This window comes from Homo sapiens, chromosome 5 (genome assembly GCF_000001405.40).
Source record: "Homo sapiens chromosome 5, GRCh38.p14 Primary Assembly".
Taxonomy (NCBI): domain Eukaryota; kingdom Metazoa; phylum Chordata; class Mammalia; order Primates; family Hominidae; genus Homo; species Homo sapiens.
In genome coordinates this window covers 55,319,240-55,344,997 of record NC_000005.10, presented here as the reverse complement: position 1 = coordinate 55,344,997, position 25,758 = coordinate 55,319,240, and the positions used below count along the sequence as shown (strand labels likewise).

At 35.3% G+C, this 25,758-nt stretch overlaps 1 protein-coding gene and 1 long non-coding RNA gene across 2 annotated transcripts in view; one reads left to right on the top strand and one right to left on the bottom strand.

Moving 5' to 3' along the window:
* Positions 1 to 25,758, bottom strand: part of MTREX (Mtr4 exosome RNA helicase) — a 117,591-nt gene that overhangs the window by 80,582 nt on the left and 11,251 nt on the right. The window contains exons 2-9 of the mRNA NM_015360.5: positions 22,534 to 22,671; positions 20,800 to 20,866; positions 17,220 to 17,282; positions 16,187 to 16,299; positions 4,814 to 4,988; positions 3,227 to 3,317; positions 1,543 to 1,667; positions 378 to 476 (exon numbers count right to left, since the gene is read on the bottom strand). Coding sequence (NP_056175.3) covers positions 378 to 476; positions 1,543 to 1,667; positions 3,227 to 3,317; positions 4,814 to 4,988; positions 16,187 to 16,299; positions 17,220 to 17,282; positions 20,800 to 20,866; positions 22,534 to 22,671 — 871 coding nt within the window. The remainder of the gene's footprint in view (positions 1 to 377; positions 477 to 1,542; positions 1,668 to 3,226; positions 3,318 to 4,813; positions 4,989 to 16,186; positions 16,300 to 17,219; positions 17,283 to 20,799; positions 20,867 to 22,533; positions 22,672 to 25,758) is intronic.
* Positions 1,847 to 25,758, top strand: part of LOC124900979 (uncharacterized) — a 35,003-nt gene continuing 11,091 nt past the window's right edge. The window contains exon 1 of the long non-coding RNA XR_007058774.1: positions 1,847 to 2,123. This is a non-coding gene — a long non-coding RNA (uncharacterized LOC124900979). The remainder of the gene's footprint in view (positions 2,124 to 25,758) is intronic.

Below are 25,758 nucleotides of genomic sequence, written 5' to 3'. Positions count from 1 at the left end.
GTATAATAATGAAAGCCACTAAAATAGTCCAAACATGATCTGTGGTAAGAGGTATTAAAAGGTGAAAAAGAAGGAATAAAAAATGAAGAAAAGCAAAACATAAGATATCTGAAACATGTCCAGAACCCCTATTCTCTAGGTATTTTTAAATACTGGGAAAGGAGGGAAATCTGATTCATGCATAAGAAAAACACAAGTCTCAAACATAATGTTTGAAATAAAAACACACAAAAAAATCAAGATCGATTGATTAAAACTAAGACAAACAAATGTATCTTTTCCATTCTTCTCTAATTCAAAATTTAAAAACAACAACAACAAGATATTAATAATAAAGTATGACATTATAGATTTAAAAAGGACAATTACTCTCTTACATTTTCATCAACCACAAGATGCAGGCCATCTCCCCCTGCTGGAAAAATGTAGTGTTGCAATGGAGTGGGCCGATAATCTGTGTAAATAACATGACAAGGCTGTAAAAAGAAAGAATTAAACATACAAAATTTTATTTCCTCAAAATAAAACTGTATCTTAGTCCAACCTAAAAGATCTTAAGAAAATCAAGTAATGAATTCAACATTTCAAAAAGAAAACACTTCAAAAAATTCACTAAAACCCAGGCAAGAGAAAAACGTAGAAAAATTAGGTCTATGAAATTATACTACCATCTTCCCAACTTACCAATTCCCTAACCAGGGCTAAATACATGACCTGAGCATCAACTACCCATTACCTAGCCCTGGAATGCTGTAATTACGGAAAGATGCTTATTTTTCTATAGAGGAGGTATACGGTGATACAAAGGATCCATGAAGTAAAATGGAACTTTTCTGCCCCACCCAGGCTTTTCAAAACCTTAGTATAAAGCAGCACTTGATCTAGCTTCTCCCCAAGATCCATTGGATTTTTCTATCCTACAGAAGCAATATGGGAGAATGCCATAAAAACACGATCAGGGAGCTTATAAACAGATAAGTTCATGAGAACATCAGTGTAAAGGAAAATTAAGGGCAGAAAAATAAAAGCAAGAATAAATTCAGTATACATAAACAAATGCCTATTACAAGCATATACAGACGCTAAAGTCAGACTAGAAAGGCAATAACAGAAAGTCAGTAAAAAGTCTGTGTTTACATGAGAAAAATCAAATCAAATGCTCCAGAGATGCCCAGCTTTTCCTGGCACCAAGGCATTAGGGGAAATTCTGTGTACTCATGGATAACTATTTGAGTAAATGCAGTAGTTTCTAAACCTGGCAGATCATCAGATCAACTTGGGGAATTTTTAAAATTGGAGTTCCCAAGGCACTATTACCTGAGATTTAGATATAGTGGGTTTGAGATGGGGCTCAGAAATCAACATTTCTAAAAAGTCAGTCAGTTGATTTTGATAAGCTGCTTGATTTGAGAAGCAGTTTACCATTAAAATGTTTTTTTTATTATTCTGGACAACATCAGGAGAAAAGCAAAGGGAGAGTAAAGCAAGACTAATCTGTAACATTTTGAATATTGAAGACATCAAAAAAGGAGGAAAAAATACCTGTTTATGTAAATGGCAAATCCATTCAGCAAACTGTCGGGCATTTGGAATAGTAGCCGAAAGAAAGACATAGTGGACGTTATCAGGAAGCAAAATAATAGTTTCTTCCCATACTACACCACGTTCTGAAAAAAATAAATATATACTTTGGACTATAGTTGGACTACAGTGTCACTCTGTGATAATATCTAAAATTATATTCTCTGAAGCTTTATAGTTAGAAATGCAGACTTTACTCAAGAATATTTTAAGCCACAGAACCTTACTGAAAACTATTTCTCACCATTAATCTATCCAGTAGAAAATTAGTAGACTAAACCACTATAAATACAATGTACTCTGAAATAGCCTACAAAGAGCAATTCCAGGGTTAATCTTTCCAAACAACCTAACAAGAGCCTCAATGACAAGGCAGCGGAACAGTATTTCTACTGCACATTGAAAAGTAATGGTTACTAACTTGTAGAAAGTTATAGCAACACATTTAGAAGATACTATTCCTATTCCAGACGGCATCGTTCACCCAAATTATCCTTGTGATCCTCTGGAGATGAAAGAAAGACTTGATGAAAGATAAAACCGTAAGTCATTTTTTATTAAAACGGAAAAAGTTTGACAGCTTCCCTCCTAAAATAGACAAATCAACAAAGGATTTCTGATTCTAAAACCAAAACAACTCTGTTAAGAGCTTAATTTTATAAATTTGGAAAGGGTGAAATATTCAAAGGGTAAATGATTTCTTAAATTCTATTGCTTTCTCCATAAATACAGGCTGATTTAGTGAGCTAGTTTAAATAAAAACTAAATCTTATTTTAAGCGTGTACATATTAAACATTTAACTTTTCAATGTGTTTGTTAACGTTAGCCCTGCCAGCACCCTACAAATTCCAAGCATACTTACTTTTTCATTACGAGAGCGTAACAGCCTAAGTAAGGGGCATTTGTAAGTTTTTCTTTTTGTTCATTTTTATTTCATAATCCTCACTTTTTGTTTTTACCATAAACACATATTTCATAGTTACTGAACTAAATAAAAATCAGGAAAGTTAACTTTGCAAGCTAGAAGTTTTAGAAATTCTGTAACATTAGTTCTACTGGTGAGCTATTAGAAGCACGCCATCTTTTAATTTCTTTTGCTTTATTTGAATTTGCATTTCTCACCCAGCAAAAGTTACTATTAAAGAGCTGTACTTGAATGAAATCTTAATGGAAAAATAATATCATGTTGTCCACTATTTAAAGAAGCAAGGCTGGGTGCGGTTCACGCCTGTAATCCCAGCACTTTGGGAGGCCAAGGTGGGAGGATCACTTGAGTCCAGGAGTTCAAGACCTGCCTGCTCAACGTTGTGAGACGCCATCTCTACTAATAAAATAAATAAAAATTAGCCAGACATGGTGGTACACGTCTGTAGTTCCAGCTACTTGGGGGACTGAGATGGAGATCAAGGCTGCAGCGAACCATGATCCTACCTAGGATCCTACCTAGGATCATGCACTTCAACCTAGGCAACAGAGTGAAACTCTGTTTCAAAAATAAATAGGTAAATAAAAATAAAGAAACAACAGTTTATTAGAACCCTAGCCACACAAAAACTAGAAGCAAAGTTTAACAATAACTTGCTCAAAATTCCTAATGTCATTCTGAAGGGAAATACATGATATACATTTCAACACTGAATATACCTGAATCTCTCATATAATGAATTTCATCAAATATAACCCAAGCAACTTCTCTCATAACTTCGGAACCTCTGTAAAGCATACTTCTCAAAATCTAAAGAAAAAAGTAAAAAATGTATTTAGTTGGATTCTGACATAACAGCTAATAGTTAGAGAAAAGTTGTTTTTTCCAACAAGGAATTTTGGATATTCTTTATTAAATGGAAATATTAAAATAATTTTAAGGGGTTACAGAACTTACTATTTAACAAATATTAACAAAAGTAATATTCAATATTACATTGTTGTATATTATATTGTATATTCCTTTTCTCATAAAAAGCAAAGTAAATGGCTTCTAAACAGTTACTAATCAGATACAATCCACAGAGAGAATTATCACCCCTACTCTCCATATGTCTAGAACATGATGCAACTTCCTTCTATACACAGCACCGTCCCAAGATTCATACTTTCTAAAATATAAGTACAACTTAAATTATCCTCTATTCAAAACACTGGATCATCCCTGACTGTTTGCCCATTTTTTCTGCCTCGTTTTCTTGCAACATGGATACTTCCTGGCAACTGTTACCCTAATTTTTGGAGTTAATGAAAACCTTCCACAGATGAAAGAAAGTTTTGAAAATGGAAAATAAACTTCCATGAGGCGACAAAATGAAAAGTGAGCAATGCTTTTGGCTGGTTCTCCAAATCAGAAGCTAATTTATGCTCACCATTATACCATATCCTTGGGGTTAAATGCAAAGATATAATTAAAGTATGTACAAAAATACTTAGTAAAGGTAACTAATCATGTCCAAAACTTAAGATATTCTAAGTATATGCAAAACTTAACTGCAATTATGGGAAGAAGGTAAACATAATACTGCACTCTAAAAAATCAGTTACTTGGCTGGGTGCGGTTGGCTCACATGTGTAATCCCAGCACTTTGGGAGGCTGAGGCAGGCAGATCATGAGGTCAGGAGATAGAGACCATACTGGCTAACACGGTGAAACCCCGTCTCTACTAAAAATACAAAAAATTAGCTGGGCATGGTGGCGGGCGCCTGTAGTCCCAGCTATTCAGGAGGCTGAGGCAGGAGAATGGCGTGAACCCAGGAGGCGGAGCTTGCAGTGAGCAGAGGTTGCACCACTGCACTCCAGCCTGCGAGACAGAACGAGACTCCATCTCAAAAAATAAATAAATAAATAAAAATCAGTTACTCATCTACTTGTATCAACACTCAGATATAGAAGACGGCAAAGTCACATGAAATGAAGAGTCACTATTACTATATATTCAAATGCTTAAAACTATGTACATAAAACCAGTAAAATATTTTCATGTCACTGACAGAAATAAACTTTAAAAATACCTGAAGAAAAAAATGTATCTGAGACAAATAATAAAGTATGGTAATTTAGAAATGTAATATTATCAGAACACTTTAAGATAAATGTTATCCATTTTGCCTAAGTCTAATCAGAAAATAAAGTACTATACTTTACCTAAGTAGAGCAACCAATAAAACTTCCCAGGTTCTAACTGAATAGTCACATTAATTTAATTAAAAACGAAAAGTCAGATGAGGCACTACATGAATTACCTCTGTGGTCATAACAAGACAAGATGCCGTAGGATTAATAGTAACATCACCAGTCATCAAACCAACATCTTGAAATTCTTCATACATTTCACGGTATTTTTGGTTACTCAGAGCCTTAATTGGGCTGGTAAATATTACACGCTGCTTTTCCCTTAAGGCCAATGCAATGGCATACCTACAAATGTGAAAACAAATAATCATACAACTTTTCCTTTAAATTATGACTTTAAAAATTCTGTTAATATTTAAATTGTGTCCAAATTTTCCCTAATTATTTATCTTGAATGGACTCTGAAGAACAGTAACACCATATCTATTATACTAATAATTATAATAAATATGAAATAGAGTGATCTAAAATCATTTTAACTCCGGTCACTCAGAGTTAATGCAACTTAGTCACTAATAGCAATAGATTACTAACAGTTACCTATTTCTTGCAAGGAAAACACCTTTGGTTCTAAGACGGGCTTCCAAAATTCAGAGCCTCTGTCTGTGAGTTCACACATATACAGATGATCAAGTGCTTATAGCCCCTGGAAAATGAAGTGTTTCCTCCTCAAGTTTCACAAATAAGTTAATCTATATGTATTCTTTTCCCACATGTAACAGTTAACAAGTCAGTCCTCTGAAAATTATGGTAGGTTCTGATTATGGAAAATTTCTTTCATAGCTATTAACAGAACACAATAGAGCAGTTTTGTTTTTCTTTAAATATAGACAGATAGCATTAAACTTAACATTGTAGTAGATCCTCCTTATTTAAGATTCAGCTCCTGCCCAGAATAGGCTTATTATAATGTATTTGGGGAAATAAAAATAACATTCATCCCAGCCAGTGAAATAAGCAATTTTTAAAAAATCAGAAGTTGTCCAAACATCAAATATGAATTACAAGAAACATACACAAAAAGAAAATACAGAAATGCTACATACATTATCTAAACTTTTCAAGAAAAAAATTGCAAGATATAAAAACAAACAGGAAAGTATGACCATATGTAGGAAAAAAGAAGCAGTCACAAGAAACTGACTGTCTCAAAAAGGAACCAAAACTATTAACAACATAATCAAATGGAAAGTCTACAGATTAGGCCGGGCGCAGTGGCTCACACCTATAATCCTAGCATTTAGGGAGGCTGAGGTGGGTGGATCACATGACGCCAAGAGTTCGAGACCAGCCTTGGCCAAAATGGGGAAACCCTGTCTCTACTAAAAATACAAAAATTAGTCAGGTATGGTGGTGTACATTTGTAATCCCAGCTACTTGGCAGGCTGAAGAAGGAGAACTGCTTGAATCCAGGAGGTGGAGGCTGCAGTGAGCCAACATCACGTCATTGTACTCCAGCCTGGGTGACAGAGTGAGACTGTGTCTCAAAAAAAAAAAAAAAAAAAAAAGAAAAAGAAAGTCTACAGATTAACAATCAAAAGAAAAAATTCTCTAGATGGGCCCATAAGCAGATTTGTGATGACTGTTATCAATGAACATGAAGATAAATTGAGAGAAATTATCAAATCTAAAGAGAAAAATAAATAGAAAAATAAGAGACACTCAGGTATCTGCAAGACATCCTCAAGTATCTCAAAGGAAATTCCAAAATAAGAAAGAGGTAGGAAAAAAAAAACAATAAAAAACTTCATTTGTTTAAAAGACATTAGAGATCCAAGAAGCTCAATTAACACAGCATGAAAAAGCAAAAAAGAACCATACCTAGAAACATCATAGTTAAACTGCTAAATGACAAAGGCAAAGAGAGTCTTTGAAAAACCACAACAGAAAAACTCAATACATAAGAGAACAACATAATTAAGGCTGACTTCTCATCAGAAACAATGGAGTAGAATGAAATGATATCAGTAGAATGATGTATCTGGAGTTGAAGGGGAAAAAAAATCGGTCAACCAGGAACTCTATATCCAGTGACACCGTCCTTCAAAAATGAAAGCAAAATAAAACTACTCTGTAAGAAATATTTATTAAAAACCTTTCAAACTAAAAGGAAGCAATACCATAAAACAGAACAATTAAGACTATGTATGTAAAGGTATATATAAAATTTTTATCACTTAATATTTTTAGAAAACACAATTTAAAGCAATGATTATACTGTATTACAGATACTGTATTATTAGATTTATAGCATATGTAGTTGAAATATATGACAGTATTAAATAGTACAAAAATGAGAAGAAAATACTAGGGCAAGTTTTCAATATTTTCCATAAATTGTGACTGTGATTTAGTTAAACATGCATACTGTAAGCCCCAAAATAACCACTAAAAACTAACTCAAAGAAAGCTAAAAAGTCAAGAGAAATTAAAATGGTACACTAAAAGATATTTGTTAAACAAAATAGAAGGCAATGGAGGAAAAATAAGGATCAAAAAAAAAACATGAGAAATATACCAAAAGACCCCCAAAACGAACAACAAAAGGCAAATATAAATCCAACCATATCAATCATTAAATTAAACTACTGAAATTTCACGAAGTATCTTCTCTAATCACAAATTAAGTTAGAAATAACAAATGGCTAAGTATATGGAAAATCACGTTTGAAAAGTAAACAACATACAAGGGAACCAAAAGAGAAATGAAAAAGTGGATTAAATGAAAATGAAACACAGTAATATCAGTTTACAGGATGCATTTTAAGCAGTACTGAGTGAAATTTTATAGTTTTATATAAACACTTACATTAAACATAAAGAATTATCTAAAACCTCAGGAAATTTCTACGCCAGGCACAGTGGCTCACACCTGTAATCCCAGCACTTTGGGAGGCTGAGGCAGGAGGACTGCTTGAGCCCAGAAGTTCAAGACCAGTCTGGGCAACACAGACCCTGTCGCTACAAAAAATAAATTAAAAATAAATAAATAAATAAAATATAAAAATTAGCTGGGTGTGGTAGCGCACGTCTGTACTCCCAGTTACTAAGGTGGCTGAGGTGGGAGCATCAGTTGAGCCTGGGAAGTCAAGGCTGCAGTGAGCCATGATTATGCCATTGCATTCCAACCCGGTTGACAGCAAGACCCTGTCTCATAAAAGAAAAAAAGAAATTTCTAGATAGACACGGTTTACCAAAATTGGCTTTAAAAAACAGGAAATTAAATTAGGAATTAAAAATCTTCCCACAAAGAAATGCCTAGGCTTAAATGGCTTCACTAGTAAATTCTATCAAACATTTAAGAAGTATGCCAAATACACAAAGTCTTATGGAAAACAGACCAGGAGGCAACACTACCAGCTTACTTTAAGTCTCCAGTATTACTCCGACACCAATGCCAAAGACTTTATAAGAAAATCACATACCATTATTCCTCATGATGACACAAAAGTCTAGAATAAACCAGAGTCAGCTCTCTACACACGCAGGTTCTGAGGATTGAAAATACACTATCGTATTTGCAAGATGAGGAACCCATGGATACGGAGAGACAACTGTTCACATCTGAAGGTTCCACAGGGCCTACTGCAGAAATTTGAGCATCTGTGGATTCTGCTATATGAGGGGGTCTGGGACCCAATCCTCCCTGGAAAATGAGTGACAACTGTACTGGCAAACTGAAATCAGTAACATACACAAATGATCATCTGCCATAAACAACCAGATTTATTCCAGGAATACAAGGTTGGTTTAAAATCAGAAAATTTAATATAGTACACTAAGAGAATAAAAAGCTAATACTACGATTTCCTCAATAGATGGAAAAATCATTTCACAAAATACAACATATCTTGATAAAAATTCTCAATTTTTTTGTTTATTTTCATTTATTCCCTACTAAGAACAGAAAGAAACAACTTCATTCTCATAAAGAGCAACCAGCAAAAAACAGCTAACGTCATACTTAATGTTGAAAGACTGAATGCTTTCTTCCTCATATCAGAAATAAGGCAAGGATGTCCACTCTCAGTACTATCCAACGTTGTACTAGATATTGACAATGCAATAAGACACACATATTGAAAAGGAAGTAAAACCATCTTTTTTCACAGGCAATGTTATCATCTATATAGAAAGTCTTATGGAATGTACAAAAAAGTTAATAAAACTTAAGGAAACATGATGAGGTTGCTGGATAAAATACCAGTATATAAAAATCAACTGTATTTCAATATACAAGCTATTAGCAATCCAAATATGACCTTAAGAAAAAATGTGATTCACAATAGCATAAACAGAAATACTTAGGAATAGGTTTAAGAAAACACGTATAAGACCTATACACTGAAAATTGCAAAGTGTTGCTAACAGAAATTAAAGTTGACCTAAATAATGGAGAAATACATCATTTTCATCGATTGAGTCAATATTGTTACAATGACAATTTTCTCCAAATTAATTTTTAAGTTCAACAAAATCCCTATCAAAATTAAAATGGGCTTTCTGGTTGGAAATTCACAAGCCAATCTTAAAATACTATTGGAAATACAAAAGACCTGGAAGTGCCCAGTTTTTAAAAATAATGAAGTTAGAAGATTCTCATTACCTAGTATCAATACTTATTATAACCCCACAGTAATCAAAATAGTGTACTAGTGTAAAGATATAACAAAGTCCAGAAACGATCCTACACAATTTACGAGTAATTTACGGGAATTCAATTCAATGGGAAAAGATAGTACTTTGAATTGGAACAACTGGATATCCAAATACAAAAAGCTAAATTTAGACCCTTTCCTCACATCTTACAGAAAAACTAACTTGAGAAGAATCACAGATCTAAATGGAAGAACTAATACTATGAAATTGCAAGAGGAAAACGAAGAAGAAAATACTTGTGATTTTGGGATAGGCAAAATCACAATTAGGTAATTCTTAGGTATACCAATTGCATGAACAATCTATAAAATATTAAGAAATTAAACATTTAAATTAAAATGCTTTCTCTACAAAAGGAAATTGAGACAAGCCACAGAATGAAAAACATATTTATAAATCACATCTGCTTTTTAAAAAAACTTGTATGCTAATAAAGACTTCTTACAACGCAATTAAGACCAACAACCCAATTTAAAACATCAGCAAGACTGAAATAAACAATTCAAAGATATATAAAGAAATGATAAACATGAAATGATGCTTAACACCCTTAGTCATCACAGAAATGCATATTAAAACTACTTTGGGACATCACTGAAATGGGTATAATAAAAAAAGACAATACCAAGAGCAGGGAAGGATGCAGAGAAACTGGCACCCTCATACATTACTGGTAGGAATATAAAATGGTACAGCCACATTAAAAAATAGTTCAGCAGTCTCCTCAACAGTTAAATACATATTTGCCATAAAATACAGCAATCACATTCCTAGGTATCTACCTTAGCTAAGAGAAACGAAAACATAGGTCCACTTAAAGACTTGCACATGAATGTTTACATCAGTATTATAATGGCCAAAAGATGATCAGTGTTTGCCTGTGGCTAGAGATAGGAATGGGTTTGAATGTAAACACACATAAGAGAACTAAATAGATGGAAGTCTTCTAAAACTGGTAAGGGTTGCACAATTGTACCGATTTACTAAAACTCACTCAAATACATATTTATGATAGATAAATTTAATGGTAAGTAAATTATATAATAAAGCTATTCACATAGACTTAAAAAATCAGCAGTGTCAGAAAAAGTATTTGTTTTACATATATAAACAACCTGATACCAACACGTTAGTCCTAGTACCAGGTTTATAAATAAAATGTTGCACCCTGCTATAGTTAACAGGTGAAGTAGGAGTTTACCTAAAGTCCTTTATCACTAGGGAAAATATGTGAGATCTGGTGTGCAACATCTGGTGTGCATATACAATTAGGTACTTCATCAGGTTTACTTTTTACTGAAGTGAAATTCACATAACATAAAATTAACCATTTTAAAGTGTATATTTCAGTGGCATTTAGTACATTCATAACGTTAGGCAACCAGTACCTCCATCTAATTCTAGTATTTTCATCACCTCCCAAAAAACTCTGTACTCACTAAGCAGTTATTCTTTACTCCCCTCCTCTCACTAGTCCCTGTCCCTCACCAATATGCTGTCTTTCTCTATGGATTTACCTATTCTGGATATTTCACATAAATGGAATCATAAAGCAATCTTTTGACTCCAACTTCTTTTAGTACGCATAATGTTTTCAAGCATGTATCAGCACTTTATTCCTTTTTATGGCAGAGTAATATTCCACTGTCTGGATATACTACAACTTATTTATCCATTCATCATCCACTGATGGACATCTGGATTGTTTCTACCTTTTGGCTATTGTGAATAGCGCTGCTGTGAAGATTTGTTTAGGTACCTGTTATCAATTCTTTGGGGGTACAAATCTAGGAGTAGAAATGCTGGGTCATATGATAATTCTAACATTATAACAAACACATTACATTCTACATTATAACATTCTACATTATAACAAATTCTACATTATAACAAATCTAGGAGTAGAATTGCTGGGTCATATGACAATTCTACATTATAACTTTTTGAAGAATTGCCAGACTGTTTTCCACAGCCAACCTCATCAGGTTTTCTAGTATCTACAATCCTGGTGAATTTCTTAAATTCCCTTTACGACTTCCTAGCCCAAGTTTTAGAGCAGGTTTCAGCATATCTATATGAAAACTTCCTCTACAGAAAAATCTCTCCTCTTGTAGGAAAAATGAAAGCAAGGTTACACTAATGGCCAAAAATCAAATTATTATACATATGCTGGCTTTAAATGCATAAAGCACCAAACATACCACAATTAAATAGTGAAAAAAATAATTGAACTAAGAGTAGTCAAATCTCTTCTTCTATACCTGTGCCTTAGGAGGAAACTGGTTTGTGAATTAAGCATCTTCTGAACAGGAGTGGACTCTTAAGAAATTCCACTGAACATAACTAGGGTGATAGAGAACCATAATGTGTTTAAGGCTGAGAAAGAGATAAAGACTATTCTGCAACTGGCTGATACTGCTGAGATGACAATATAAGATACAAACTTCACTCCTCTAACTCAACGAAGAGAAAAACTGAGACTTACACAGCTAAGCCAAGGTCTGGAAGGAATGAATACAGTGACCAGATAAGCCCTGACCAGGAATACAAAATTATTCAGCACCCAACAAGGTAAAATTCACAATGTTTTAGTATCAATAAAAGGTATGCAAAGAAGCAGGAAAATATAACCTATAATGACAAGGGAAAAAAATCAATAAAAACAAATCTGAAAATGAGACAGATGACGGAATTAGGAATTAATAACACAATGACCAGATAAGCCAAGGTCTGGAAGGAACTAATAATAGATAAGATAACCTGTTAAGGAAAAAAATATTCCAGGATTCATGAATTATTTTGATCACTACTATGATTTAGATGACCCCTACGAAATGTATGTAGAAATTTAATTGCCAAAGTAATGGTATTTGGAAGTAGGGCCTTTAAGAGGTGATGAGGTCATGAAAGCTCCATCTTCATGAATATACTAATTACATTATCTTGGGAGGGAATTATCAAGGGGGTGGGCCCCAGTTAAAAGGACAAGTTAGGCCCAATTTCCTCTCCCTTTCTTGCCATGGGATGACTCTCGCCAGAGGCCTGTGCCATGTTCTTGGTTTTCTCAGCTTCCAGAACCATGAGCCAAATAAACTTCCTTTCTTTATAAATTACCCAGTCTGTGGTATTCTGTTAAAGCAGAATACAGCAACAGAAAACAGACTAAGACAACCACCATGCCAAGGTAAAATGGCTGATGAACAGGATGACTGGTGCCATTTTTTTTATCTGTTTCTTTTCTCTACAGTCTTCTTTACTCTTTAGGTATCCCCTGTTAAGAGTACCTAATTCAGCTACTCAACTGGAAAGGTCATAGAGAAATATGTTATAAATTGTAAAAGTTAAATCAAAAGAGTCAATCTACAACAGATTGCAAAACGCCATCCACATTAATGAGCACCATCCATCCACTTTTAGAATGGCCCAGTTCCATCAAACATTAGTATTCATCACCTGGTGATCTTGTTAAAATGTAGATTCTCAATCAGCAGTTATAGGGTGGGGCTAGAGATTCTGCCTAACAAGTTCCCAGGTAGTATCAAGGACTATACTTTGAGTAGCAAGACTACACAATCTTAGTTATTAAATATATTTTAGAAGAACAGGAACCTACCAAAATACGTGCACTATTGTAGTAATACATAATGTACATTAAAAATAATACAGAAAACATCCACTTACACCAAGATGGAGTAACAGAAACTGGCTTTACCCACCCACCTGAAACAATGATAAATAGCACAAAATATATGAAACAGTGGTTTCATACACTGGATATAAGAACAGTACGCCCCAAGAGAGAGAAAACAAAGTAGGTAATCCAAAATTACTGCCTAGATTTTCCAAACTGCAGTTCTAAGATGGGCAACCAAGGTAAACCCTGGAAGTTTCCCTAAGTTGAACAGACCAAGATCGTAGTCTGTGAAGGCCAGGGCAGCTGGAGTTTGCAGGGCAGAATACCAGAGGAGACAACTGCAAAGAGAAGGTTCTGAAAATCTGCTGAGCATCTGCAAGTCTTCAGGTAGTAATGATCCGTGAATAAGTCTTAGGAAATTATGAGGCCAGGGAAAAACCAACCAAGAGGAGAAGAGATAAAAATTACCAAATCTTATACACGACTGGCAGAAATGTGGTTTCCCACCAGCTACAGTGGAAAACCTCAGAATTCACAAGATACTGCATGGAATACTGACTAAGTAGTGGGGAAAATCAGCCCTAGACTAAATGCTACTCTGGTCGTGCCTAAAAAAGTCATAAAAGTAAGCCTCAAAAGGATATTTTTTCCAAGTAACTTAACTATACCTCAGAACAAATCTCACAAATATGTACAAAAATGCAAAAGTATTCAGCACCGAACAAGGTAAAATTCACAATGTTTTGGCATGCAATAAAAAAGTATCAGGTATGTCAAGGTGCAGGAAAACACAGTCTGTAATGAAAATTTTTTTTTAATCAATAAAATCAGATCCAAAAATGAGACAGATGACAGAATTAGTAAACAGGGATATTAAAAGTTACTATAACAGTACTCTATATGCTCAAGAAAGCTGAGGAAAATTAAACAGCACGTTAAGTAAAAATACGGAAAACACTGACGAAATCAAAATTTTAGAGATGGAAACTGAGTGTCTGAGATTAAAAAAACACACTGGCTAGTATTAAAAGCAGATTAAGACACTGCAATAAAAAAAAAGTGAATAAACCTGAAGTCACAGCAACAGAAACTATCCAAAATGAAACAGAATAAACACCAAAAATAAAATTATAATAAATAAACACAGCTTCAGTGGGCTGTGAACAACTTAAAGGGGCCTGCTGTAAGTATAACTTGAGTCCTCAAAGAAATAAAGGAAGGGCAATATTTGCAGTAAAAAATGTCTGAAATTTCCCCAAATATAATGAAAACTATAATAAATCCACACATCTAAGAAACCCTACAAACTCAAGTATAAGAAACATGGGAAAAAAAAAAACTATCTCAGTCACATTATAATCAAGAAGTCAGTGACTAAAAAAAAAATCAAAGAAGCAGGAAAGTCAATCCATCAAAGAGACCAGGAAGTAATCAGATAAACGAAGTAGTAACAAGGACATTTAACGTTTTTGTAACTGTACCCTATCTGTTCAAGCAGTTAGGATTTCTATAAACTAGAAATAGAAAAAAACATTACGAAAAAAAGGAAGCTAAAAAAAGTTAAGAGACACGGAGGAAAACAAAAATAAATTGAACATCTAGCAAAGAAAAGATAATATCTGAGATTAAAAATGCATTCAGTTCATGCCTATAAGCCCAGCACTTTGGGAGAGCAAGGCAGGAGAATCACTTGAGCCCAGGAGTTTGAGACCAGTGTAGGCAACATAGCGAGATTTCATCTCCACAAATAATCAAAAACTTAGCCAGTCATGGTGGCACATGCCTGTGGTCCCAGCTACTAGGGACGCTGAGTTGGACTGCTTGAGCCCACAAGTTTGAGAATGCAAATGAGCTCTGTTTGTGCCACTGCACTCCAACCTGGGCGACAGAGCAAGACCCTGCCTCAAAAACAAACCAACCAATAAAAAAGTAGCACTCAATGAGATTAACAGCAGATTAGAAAATTCAGAAGCAAAGATTAATAAATTTAAAGACATTGCATTAGAAATGACCCACAAATGAAACTCAAAAGAAAAAAAATGAATATAGTATCAGTGAGTTGTGAGACAACTTTAAGCGGCCCAAAAGAGTCCTGGAACAAGAGCCCTGAGGACTGCAAAAACAAACCCAAAGACAAGAAAAAAATGCAAAAACAACACCAAGGTACATAAAAAACAAACTGCTTAAAATCAATGATAAAAATCAATCTTAAAAGCAGCCAGAGGAAAAAAGACACATTATGTACAGAGTATCAAAGGTATACTAGGATTTCTTGTCATAAACTATGCAAGTCAAAAGGCAGTCTTAAAAGAAAATTACAATTCCATACCAAAGGAAAATACCTTTCAAAAAAAAGTAAAAGATTTTCAGACATACAAAAGTTAAGATTTTCTCATCAGTAGAACTGCACTACAATAAACTGCTAAAGGCATTTCTTCAGATAGAAGGGAAATGATGCTGTACAGAAAACAAGATCAAACATAACTTATCAGACGTGTCAAATTATTTAAGAAACATATCAAAAACATGGCCAGGCATGGTAGCTCATGCCTGTAATCCCAGAAATTTGGGAGTCCAAGGTGGGACGATTGCTTGAGCCCAGGAGTTTGAGACCAGCCTATTTAAGTTTGAGACTCTGTGTTGCCTCTAAAAAAAAAAGAAAAAAAAAATTAGCCAGGTGTGATGGTGCACGCTTTTAGTCCCATCTACTAGGAAGGCTGAGGCAGGAGGATCGCCTGAGCCCAGAGGTCAAGGCTGCAGTGAGCCATGACTGCGCAGAAGAAAAAAAAAAATCATGTCAATAGATGCAAAAAAAGCACTTGACAAAATCCAGTATCTAAATATTTTATACCCATAGACATAAATACATATGCAAACAAAATCTCTGCAAACCAAGAACAGAAGTTCCTCAAACTGATAAATAAAAAGCATCTGTGAAAAACCAACAGGTAATATCATGCTTAACGATGAAAGCCTGAGTGTTTTTCTCCTAATATGAGGAACAAGAAAAGAATGTCCTCTTTTATTACTTCAAGTAAACATTGTATTAGAGGTTCAATAAGACATGAAAAAGAAATTGTTCAAAAGGGACAAGTAAAACCATCTTCACTAGCAGAAATCAAACAGCAAAAAAGAAACTTTTAAAGAGTGAAATAAGAAACAAAGTGACTTTAAAAAGGAAGCTACTCACTCGGCGCATACTGTTTTTCCCGCTGAGGTATGTGCAGATACTAGAACAGACTGATTATTGTCAACACACTGAATGGCCTCTCTTTGAAAAGCATCAAGAATGAACGGGTATTCCTATAAAAACAAAACATTAATATCTGCATAAAAACATCTAGTTGTATCAGAGCATACTTAAAATCAAAACACAAGCAGGCTACCCCCCAAAGCATTCTGGGAGTATTCCTTTATGATTTTATTTAGAAAATATACTACACATTAGTGAAAATAAGGAAGAGTACACTACATTTTTGCCCAAACAACATAGAAGCTAATTCTGCTCTCTAATCTTTCAATCATCACATTATGTTGGTGTCTATTATATTAATAATAAAATAATCATTACCATTTACCAAAAACAAGCTCTGTGGCCAGGCACTGTGTAACACATTTTCCATATATTATTACTAATTTTCACAACAACCCCTATCATAGATATTATTTCCTTTCATAGGTAGGAACTCTGAGGCTCTAAAAGTCTCTCAGTAAAGTTCACTCCGTAGAGGCAGAATATTACATCTATTAGACTTTAAGAGTTCATGCATACTCTACCATACCGCCTTTTTTATTTAAGAAAATTACTTGGAAAATTAAACCTTAAAAATTTCTTGGCCTTTTAAGGTCTATCAGGCCTTCCAAATCCGTCTAAAAAAAGCACAGAGTTCCGGTTTCATTAGAAGCCTGTTAAAACCCTAAAACTATAGGCAAAAACTAGTACACATGTATTTTTTTCTGGAGAAAGGTTGATAACTTTCATTACATTCTTTTAAAAGGTTGAGAATCATAATTTTAATATTTTAAAATCTCATCATGTAATGGCTGGTTTCCAGCATAGTTGTTAACTGATTCAGTTCTCATTATATTTGTCTTTAGTTGGCTTGTTCTTGATACATACATATACATGTTGTGGGAAATATAAAAATCTCATTTGAAATAAGAATTTTAAGAAAAAGAGAGTCTCACGAAACTATATAAACTGTATTACCCAAAGTACAGACCTTAGCAGCTTTTCCAACTCGTGGTTTAAGTGGTAAATAATCCTCTTCTGCAGGAAGTGCAACCTGACAACAAAGTAAAAAAGAAAAAAAAACCTCACCAACTATTTGAGAACTGATGTATTTAGCATTCCATAATGAATGATGGTTTGGAAAATAAAACTGATGAACTAGAGTGATGAACTTTAGCTGTCTCAGACACTGTAAATCAAATAACTGTCTTTAAGAACAAGGCAAAAAGCTAGTTTCAACACTCAGAAATTACATCTACTCGCATTTGTCTAAGGGTAATAATTGAAAGCTGATGTTTATCTCCCTGAGGAAACTGTGTACTTTTTAAAGTCGAAACTACTACAAAACAGAAGAATAACAACACAGTGGGTAGAAAACAACATAGAACAGAAAGAGAAACTTTTGAATGCTCATATGCTGACAGGGAATGGCAATTAGAAAAAAAGAGACTCTAGAAATAGTTAAGGGAAAAGGAAATTAATAAAGTCTTTGTGCAGTGTGGCGATTCCTCAAGGATCTACAACTAGAAATACCATTTGACCCAGGATCCCATTACTGGGTATATACCCAAAGGATTATAAATCTTTCTACTACAAAGACACATGCATACGTATATTCATTGCAGCACTATTCACAATAGCAAAGACTTGGAACCAACCCAAATGTCCATCAGTGATAGACTGGATAAAGAAAATGTGGCACATATACACCATGGAATACTATGCAGCCATAAAAGTTGATGAGTTCATGTCCTTTGCAGGGATATGGATGAAGCTGGAAACTCATTCTCAGCAAACTATCACAACAACACAAAACCAAACACTGCCATGTTCTCACTCGTAAGTGGGAGTTGAACAATGAGAACACATGGACACAGGGCAGGGAACATCACAAACCGGGGCCTGTAGAGAGGTGGGGGGCTAGGGGAGGGATAGCATTAGGAGAAATACCTAATGAAGGCTGACAGGATGATGGGTGCAGCAAACCACCATGGCAGGTGTATACCCATGTAACAAAACTGCATGTTCTGCACATGTACCCCAGAACTTAAAGTATAATAATTAAAAATAAATAAATAAAGTCTTTGTGGAGATAGGATAAGACACAACCAAGAATACTGGCAGAACAACCATCCTTAGTCTGGAAGGGGAATGTGACACGTACAAATAGCCTTGGTGATGGAGGTTATAATCAGAGGACATTTCAACTTGATATCCTCAAGCCTGTGAAGAGGAAAAGTCACCCTGCTGAGAAAGTGGGAAGAAGTGACAGAAAGGTGGGCTTGAAGATAATCATGGAGCACAGAAGGGGCTTTTGACCTCCTGAGAATAGAGTTTGTATTTCTTTTTTCTTTTCTTTTTTCTTTTTTTGAGACAGAGTCTCACTCTGTCACCCAGGCTGGAGTACAGTGGCGTGATCTCAGCTCACTGCAACCTCCACCTCCCTGGTTCAAGCAATTCCCCTGCCTCAGCCTCCTGAGTAGCTGGGATTACAGGCACATGCCACCATGCCTGGTTAATTTTTTTTGTATTTTTAGTAGAGACGGGGTTTCACCATGCTGGCCAGACTGGTCTCAAACTCCTGACCTCAGGCAATCCGCCTGCCTCGCCCTCCCAAAGTGCTGGGATTATAGACGTGAGCCACTGTGCCCAGCCATGTTTATGTTTTTCCATCTTTTATAAGCCCAGATAACTGAATAGGGTCTAACATATCTTGAATAATCAAATGGACATCACACCTGTCAGACACTATGTACTACCTCTAAAGAAACATAAGAGACTTTCAGTAGAAAAATATTTTAAAAGATAAATTTCTAGAAATCATGTCCTTTGCAGTAACATGGATGCAGCTGGAGGCCATCATCCTGATTTAACGCAGAAACAGAAAATCAAATACCGCATATTCTCACTACGTTTAGTGAGAGCTAAACATAGGGTACACATGGACATAAAGATAAGAACAACAGACACTGAGGACTCCAACAGCAGGAAGTGAAGTGGGAAAGGGTTGAAAAACTATTTAATACCTACTGGGTAGTATGTTCACTATTTGGGTGACGGGTTCAACTGAAGCCCAAACCTCAGCATTACACGATATACCCATGTAACAAACCTGCACATGGCTAGGCACAGTGCCTCATGCCTGTAATCCCAGCACTTTGGGAGGCCAAGATGGCTGGATCACTTGAAGTCAGGAGTTTGAGACCAGCCTGACCAACATGGTGAAACCCAGTCTCTACTAAAAATAAAAAAAAAAATTAAAAAAAAAAAATTAGCCAAGCGTGGTGGCACGCACCTGTAATCCCAGCTGCTTGGGAGGCTGAGACAGAAGGATTGCTTGAGCCTGGGACGTGGAGGTTGCAGTGAGCCGAGATCACATCACTGCACTCCAGCCTGGATGACATAGTGAGACTCTTAAAAAAAAAAAAAACAAAAAAAAACCCCCCCAAAAAAACAACACTTGCATATATGTACCACCTCCTGAAAAAATCAAACTTGCATATGTACCACCTCCTGAATCTGAAGTTAAAAAAAAAAAAGATAAGGTTCTAAACCTACATTGAAAGTCTTTTTGTTAATTTGGATTACTCTGCTTATTCAACAGACTTTTAATGAGATTCTCCAATTACCTCTAAAAATAACTTGCTATAATGTTTATAATAAAAAATTTTGAGAAGGAAATAGTGTTATAGTTCCATCATGTCCCTAATGTGTATAAATTCTCACTTCTAAATGGATACAAGCTATCTCTGACCACCATCTTGTGGCAGAACAAAGAAACTGCAATTTATCAGTCATTGGAGCAAGACATGAAATAGCATGTAACCTTCAAAAATAGCACTGTTACTTAACTTTAGGAGTATGAATGCTCTAAACACCTACTCTGTGCTAGGTACTTTACCTAATTTACTTCTATAATCCTCACAACCACACCACAAGGTAGATCCCTTTATTGCAAATTTAAAAACTACAAAAAAACAATGTTTTTAAATAAACAAAGAGGTTAAGAAATTTACCCAAGATTGGCCCGGCGCAGTGGCTCATGCCTGTAATCCCAGCACTTTGGTAGGCTGAGGCAGGTGGATCACGAGGTCAGGAGTTTGAGACCAGCCTGGCCAACATAGTGAAACCCCATCTCTACTAAAAATACAAAAATTAGCCGGGCATGGTGGCGCACGCCTGTAATCCCAGCTACCCAGGAGGCTGAGGCAGGAGAATTGCTTGAACCCGGGAGGCGGAGGTTGCAGTAAGCCGAGATTGCGCCATTGCACTCCAGCCTGGTCGACAACAGCGAACCTCTGCCTTAAAAAAAAAAAAAAAAAAAAAAAAAAAAAAAAAAAAAAAAGTTAAAATAAGAAATTTACCCAAGATTATAGTTAAGAAAAATGCTGGGGGAGGATCTGAACCCAAGTTTAATTACAAAGCCCCAACTCTTCCACTAGGTACCCCATGGAAACTATTTATTGTTTCCAAGGTCCTCATGGCTAAACTGTTTGCTGATCATCATACTAGATAGTCCAAAGAAAAATCCCATTTGTAACACTAACCTTCTGTATGCTGTTTGTGCTTACCTCATGTGTACACCCTTCAACAGTTTCAACTGATTGTACCTTGACTCTGGGCATCAGGTCTGCCAAACTTAAAAAGAATTGTTTAAAGTTACACAAAAACAAATTACTTTTCTATAATTTGATAATAAGCCTCACATTGCACTGTTAAGGAAAATGACACTGTCCAATCATCAGTATTCCAAATAGGAAAAACTTTGGCTATTAAGAATACATAGAAATGTTTTCACATTATGCAAATATATGCTGAAAATTAAAAATGACCAGTTAACATCTTTTATTACAGATACAGAACAGACTGCCGAGTGATTATTCAAATAATTATGTCAGCTTAGTTCCAATAACTATTTTGAATAAAAAGTGCCTCTACCAAGCACTGTCACCACTTCAAAACATAAGCTGGTTATAAACCATTACACAATAGAAAGTATAAAGTAAACTAGCCCAATTCATTTGTTGCTATTATTTATAGAAGTGTTCCTGGCCAGGCACAGTGGCTCACACCTGTAATCCCAACACTTTGGGAGGCTGAAGTGGGTGGATCACTTGAGCCCAGGAGTTCAAGACCAGCTTGGGCAATACGGCAGAAACTCACTACAAAAAAACTCAAAAATTAGCATACGTGGTGGCACGCGCCTGTAGTCCCAGCTACTCAAGACATTGAGGCAGGAGAATCACCTGACCCTGGGGAGGCTGAGATGGCAGTGAGCTGTGATCACACCACTGCACTCCAGCCTGGGTGACAGAGTGAGACAATGTCTCAAAAAAAAAAAGTTCCTTATTCTCATCAAAATCCTACATTATGCTATCTAGGTCCTCTGTTAAGACTCTGAAAAGGCAAAACTGGATAAACTGAAGAAAAATAGATGTATTTCTGTGCTAGATTATTATCTTACTTATCGTACTTCTGAGATTTAAGTCAATAATATTACTTTGGACAAACTCAAAAGTTACAAACAAGTAACAATGACTTTAAACTACAAATATTATTTTGTAACTTATTATAGTAGCCTGGGAAAATGGTGCATCTTAAATATTCCAGTGACACATCTATCACCATTTATAGGAGATAATTTTACTAACTGTAACAAAAGTTAACTGGTTTTAAAAAAAAATCACAGAAATTGTAAACTCTTCATGGTAGTGCCAAGTTCAAATATGGAACATTAGAAGGGAGGAGCAAAGTTGTAAAGATCATTACCACAATACAAAACAGGTCAACCAAGGGTACTGGCATCAACTTTTAGAAAGCTCCAGCTTCCAAAATCAGATAAATACCAGCGATTCCAGCCACAGATACCCATAGCAGGAGTCTTGAGATGCACAGCCACTCTACTCCACATGCAACAATGAAAATCTAATTCGCTCTAATGTTCCTTCCCACTTATTCCTTCCACTGAGTTAGCTTTATTTTTTCCTTTTATTCCACTCTTCCAGTTATCCTCCTCCTGAGGCATTACAAATAAAGAAAACGTATTTTTTTTAATCAGGTTTTAAGACTTTTTTCTCAAAACTGGATTCTAAAGTATTAAAAGATGAGTATTTTCCATATTGCTTTCCAACTCCCCAAACTTAGGTAAGTGTTCTACATTTACATGCCTGTGTAAAAATAGAAAGAATATCTTCATTTCTCTAATACGGGCATATATCTAAGTAGCAACATGGAGACAATTTTTAAAACCTCATGTAACCACCTGAATTATGAGTTACTAACATTTAGGACTTTGGAAATATTACCTTAAGTCTTCAGTTATTGACTCTTCTATCCTGGGCTTCTTTCCAAAAATGGGTTCATCTGTACCTTCGAAATCTACATCTCTCTTATTTTTTCCATTATTAGTTGATTCTGATTGTAATTTACCATCAAAACGTTTCCTGAAAAGTAAATAGTTTGGAATGAATTCTGCAGTATCCACTTTTACTTTAAGGGCAACATCATAAAATACTGCTCTATACCATTAACAGAAAGTCATGTTTTAAATAGATGAATGTTACAAACAACAACTGGCTGAAGCCCGGAATACCTTAACTTTATAACTAGTAAAACTGAATACTTTACTGCATTTGTATTTCATTTTTCTTTGACGGTTTAAAATTATCTTAAAATTCACATTAACATAACTATTAAATATATTTTCTTTAAAACTGTAAATTAAAACATCATTAGACATTAACATGAGTTACCTTTAACAAACATTTAATGCTTTCTCTAAAGGCATGATACTACTATTTGGAAGAAAATTTTTTGTGATTAGATTTGCTGGTCAAAAGTAGTGACAATAAATGACGTTTGGAGCCGGGCACGGTGGCTCATACCCGTAATCCAAGCACTTTGGGAGGCCGAGGTGGATGATCACTTGAGGTCGGGAGTTAGAGACCAGCCTGGACAGCATGGCAAAATCCCATCTCTACTAAAAATACAAAAATGAGCTGGGTATGATGGCGCATGCCTGTAGTCCCAGCTACTCGAGAGGCTGGGACAGGTGAACTGCTTGAACCCAGGAGGCAGATGCTGCAGTAAGCTGAGATCACGCCACTGCACTCCAGCCTAGGAGACAAAGCAAGACTGTCTCAGGAAAAAAAAAAAAAAAAAAAAAATAGATGTTTGGTACACTGAATATCCATAGGGGAATTCAATCTGACCTTTACCTCATCATACACAAAAATCAATTCCATGTGAATTTTAGATGTGTGAAAAGGCAAAAATAACAAAGAATCTAGAAGATAAAATGAGAAAATGATCTTCCGGACTTCTTAACCAGGACAGAAAATTAGGGGTGAGGATTATAAATCAATTTTTAAAAGATAACCCAATTAAAAAAATGAGCAAAGGACTTAGTGGGCACTTTAGAAAAGAGGATATTCAAATGGGCAACAAGCACATGAAAAGGAGCTCAACACCATTACTTATGACAGAATTGTAAATCAGATATCAGGTCAGTGGCTCAAACTTTTTGGTTTCAGAATCCTTTCTCAGTCTTAAAAGTTATAAGAAACTCTAATGAATTTTATGTGGTTGTATCTATTGATATTTGCAATATTAGATATTAAGATTAAAATTTTTTTAAATACTTATTAATTCACTTTAAAATGGCAACAGTCAAACCACTACATATTAACATGAGTAACATTTTTGGTAAAAAATAACTATTTTCTAAAAAAATTTTAACGAGAATGGCATAGTTTTTATATTTTTCCAAATCTCTCATGTCTGGCTTAACAGAAACAGCAGGATTCACCTGTTTCTGTATTCAACTTGCTATGACATGTTGTTTTGGTCAAAGCATATGAAGAAAAATCTAGCCTTACACAGATATGTAACTAAAAAAGGACAGGGTATTTTAATAGACTTTTCGGAAAATTGTGACTTTGCCCCTCTGATCCCGTAACAAAACAGTCACACTCAGAACTGCTATTCCATTTAGTCATGAATTGTGCAAACGATGTTGAGCCAAAGCCAAACATAAAAATATATTTTGTATGATTCCACTTACATAACAGTCCCAAACAAAAAAACTAACACATGTTGTTATCAGGACAGTTATTTTTTCTAAGGGACACAGAGGGGTTGTAATATTCTATTTTTTTGCACAGAATGGTGGCTGCGTGGATGTGTTCCACACACTCTAAAAATCCATCCCATAATCTGCACACTTTTCTTTATGTTTTATTTAAACAATTTTTAGGCTGGGCAGGGTGACTCATGCCTGTAATCCCAGTACTTTGGGAGGCCAAGGCGGGCAGATCACGAGGTCAGGAGATTGAGACCATCCTGGCTAACACGGTGAAACCCCGTCGTCTCTACTAAAAATACAAAAAATTAGCCGGGTGTGGTGGTGAGCACCTGTAGTCCCAGGTACTCGGGAGGCTGAGGTAGAATGGTGTGAACCCGGGAGGTGGAGCCTGCAGTGAGCTGAGATCGTGCCACTGTACTCCAGCCTGGGCGACAGAGCAAGACTCCCTCTCAAAAAAAAAAAAAAAAGACTTTTTAATAAAGGGTAAAACAATACTGATCCATATGCTTGAACAACCTTTCCATAATGAAGTCCATTCTCTGATACCTAGCAAAACCTAAAATTTGTAAATTCTGTCACTCCCAATTTTGCGAAAAAGCTATTCATTCTAGTCCCATTTTTGTTGCTGACTACTTATGTGAACCTCTTCTGGACAGGTCATCAATATCCTTGGGCCTCAGTAAAACAAGACATTTGGACAATAACTGAGATCCTTTCTAGGTGTAACATTCTATTATTCTATCTCTGAGTAAGCAACAACTAAGCCACTATATTTAAAACATTCTATTAGGAGCTGGTTAAAGTCTATAAAACAAAGAAACATGAAAGTTCCCAAACCTTTGAGAAACTGAAATTCATGGTAGAACACTTCTGGTCAGAAGTGCTACATTATTCTTTAATATTGCATGTCAGACTTTTAGGACTCTAATTATTTATTTCTCTCATAGCTTGGTATGTACGTCACATGTGGAACTTGCACACAAACATCTGAGTTATCCAGAAAGGCTGGAAATGAAGTGTTGTAGATAACCAGCTTACTTTTTAAGGATAAGGTTTTAATTTATTGAAACCATCTGAGAATGTTATTCTTCTTAGTTCATAAGGGTAGCATGCTCTATACATAGCACAAGAAAGAGCACCAAATTGGCCATTAAGCCCAAACAACAAATTTGGCCAACATCTAATTATAACTTATTGGCCAACAAACCCAAACTGGGATAACTAGCCTGTAATTACAGAGGATAAAAATCAATCTCTAACCTATAGAGGAATTTGGCAACACCTAGCAACACATTCTAAAATGGTCATGAAATTCAAAGACTAGTACATATTACATGAGACAAAAAAGACATGACAACCAAATCACTTAATCCTATATAGAATTATTTTCTTATAAAGGACATTAAAGCAATTGGCAAAATCTGGATAAGTCTGATTAGGTAACAGT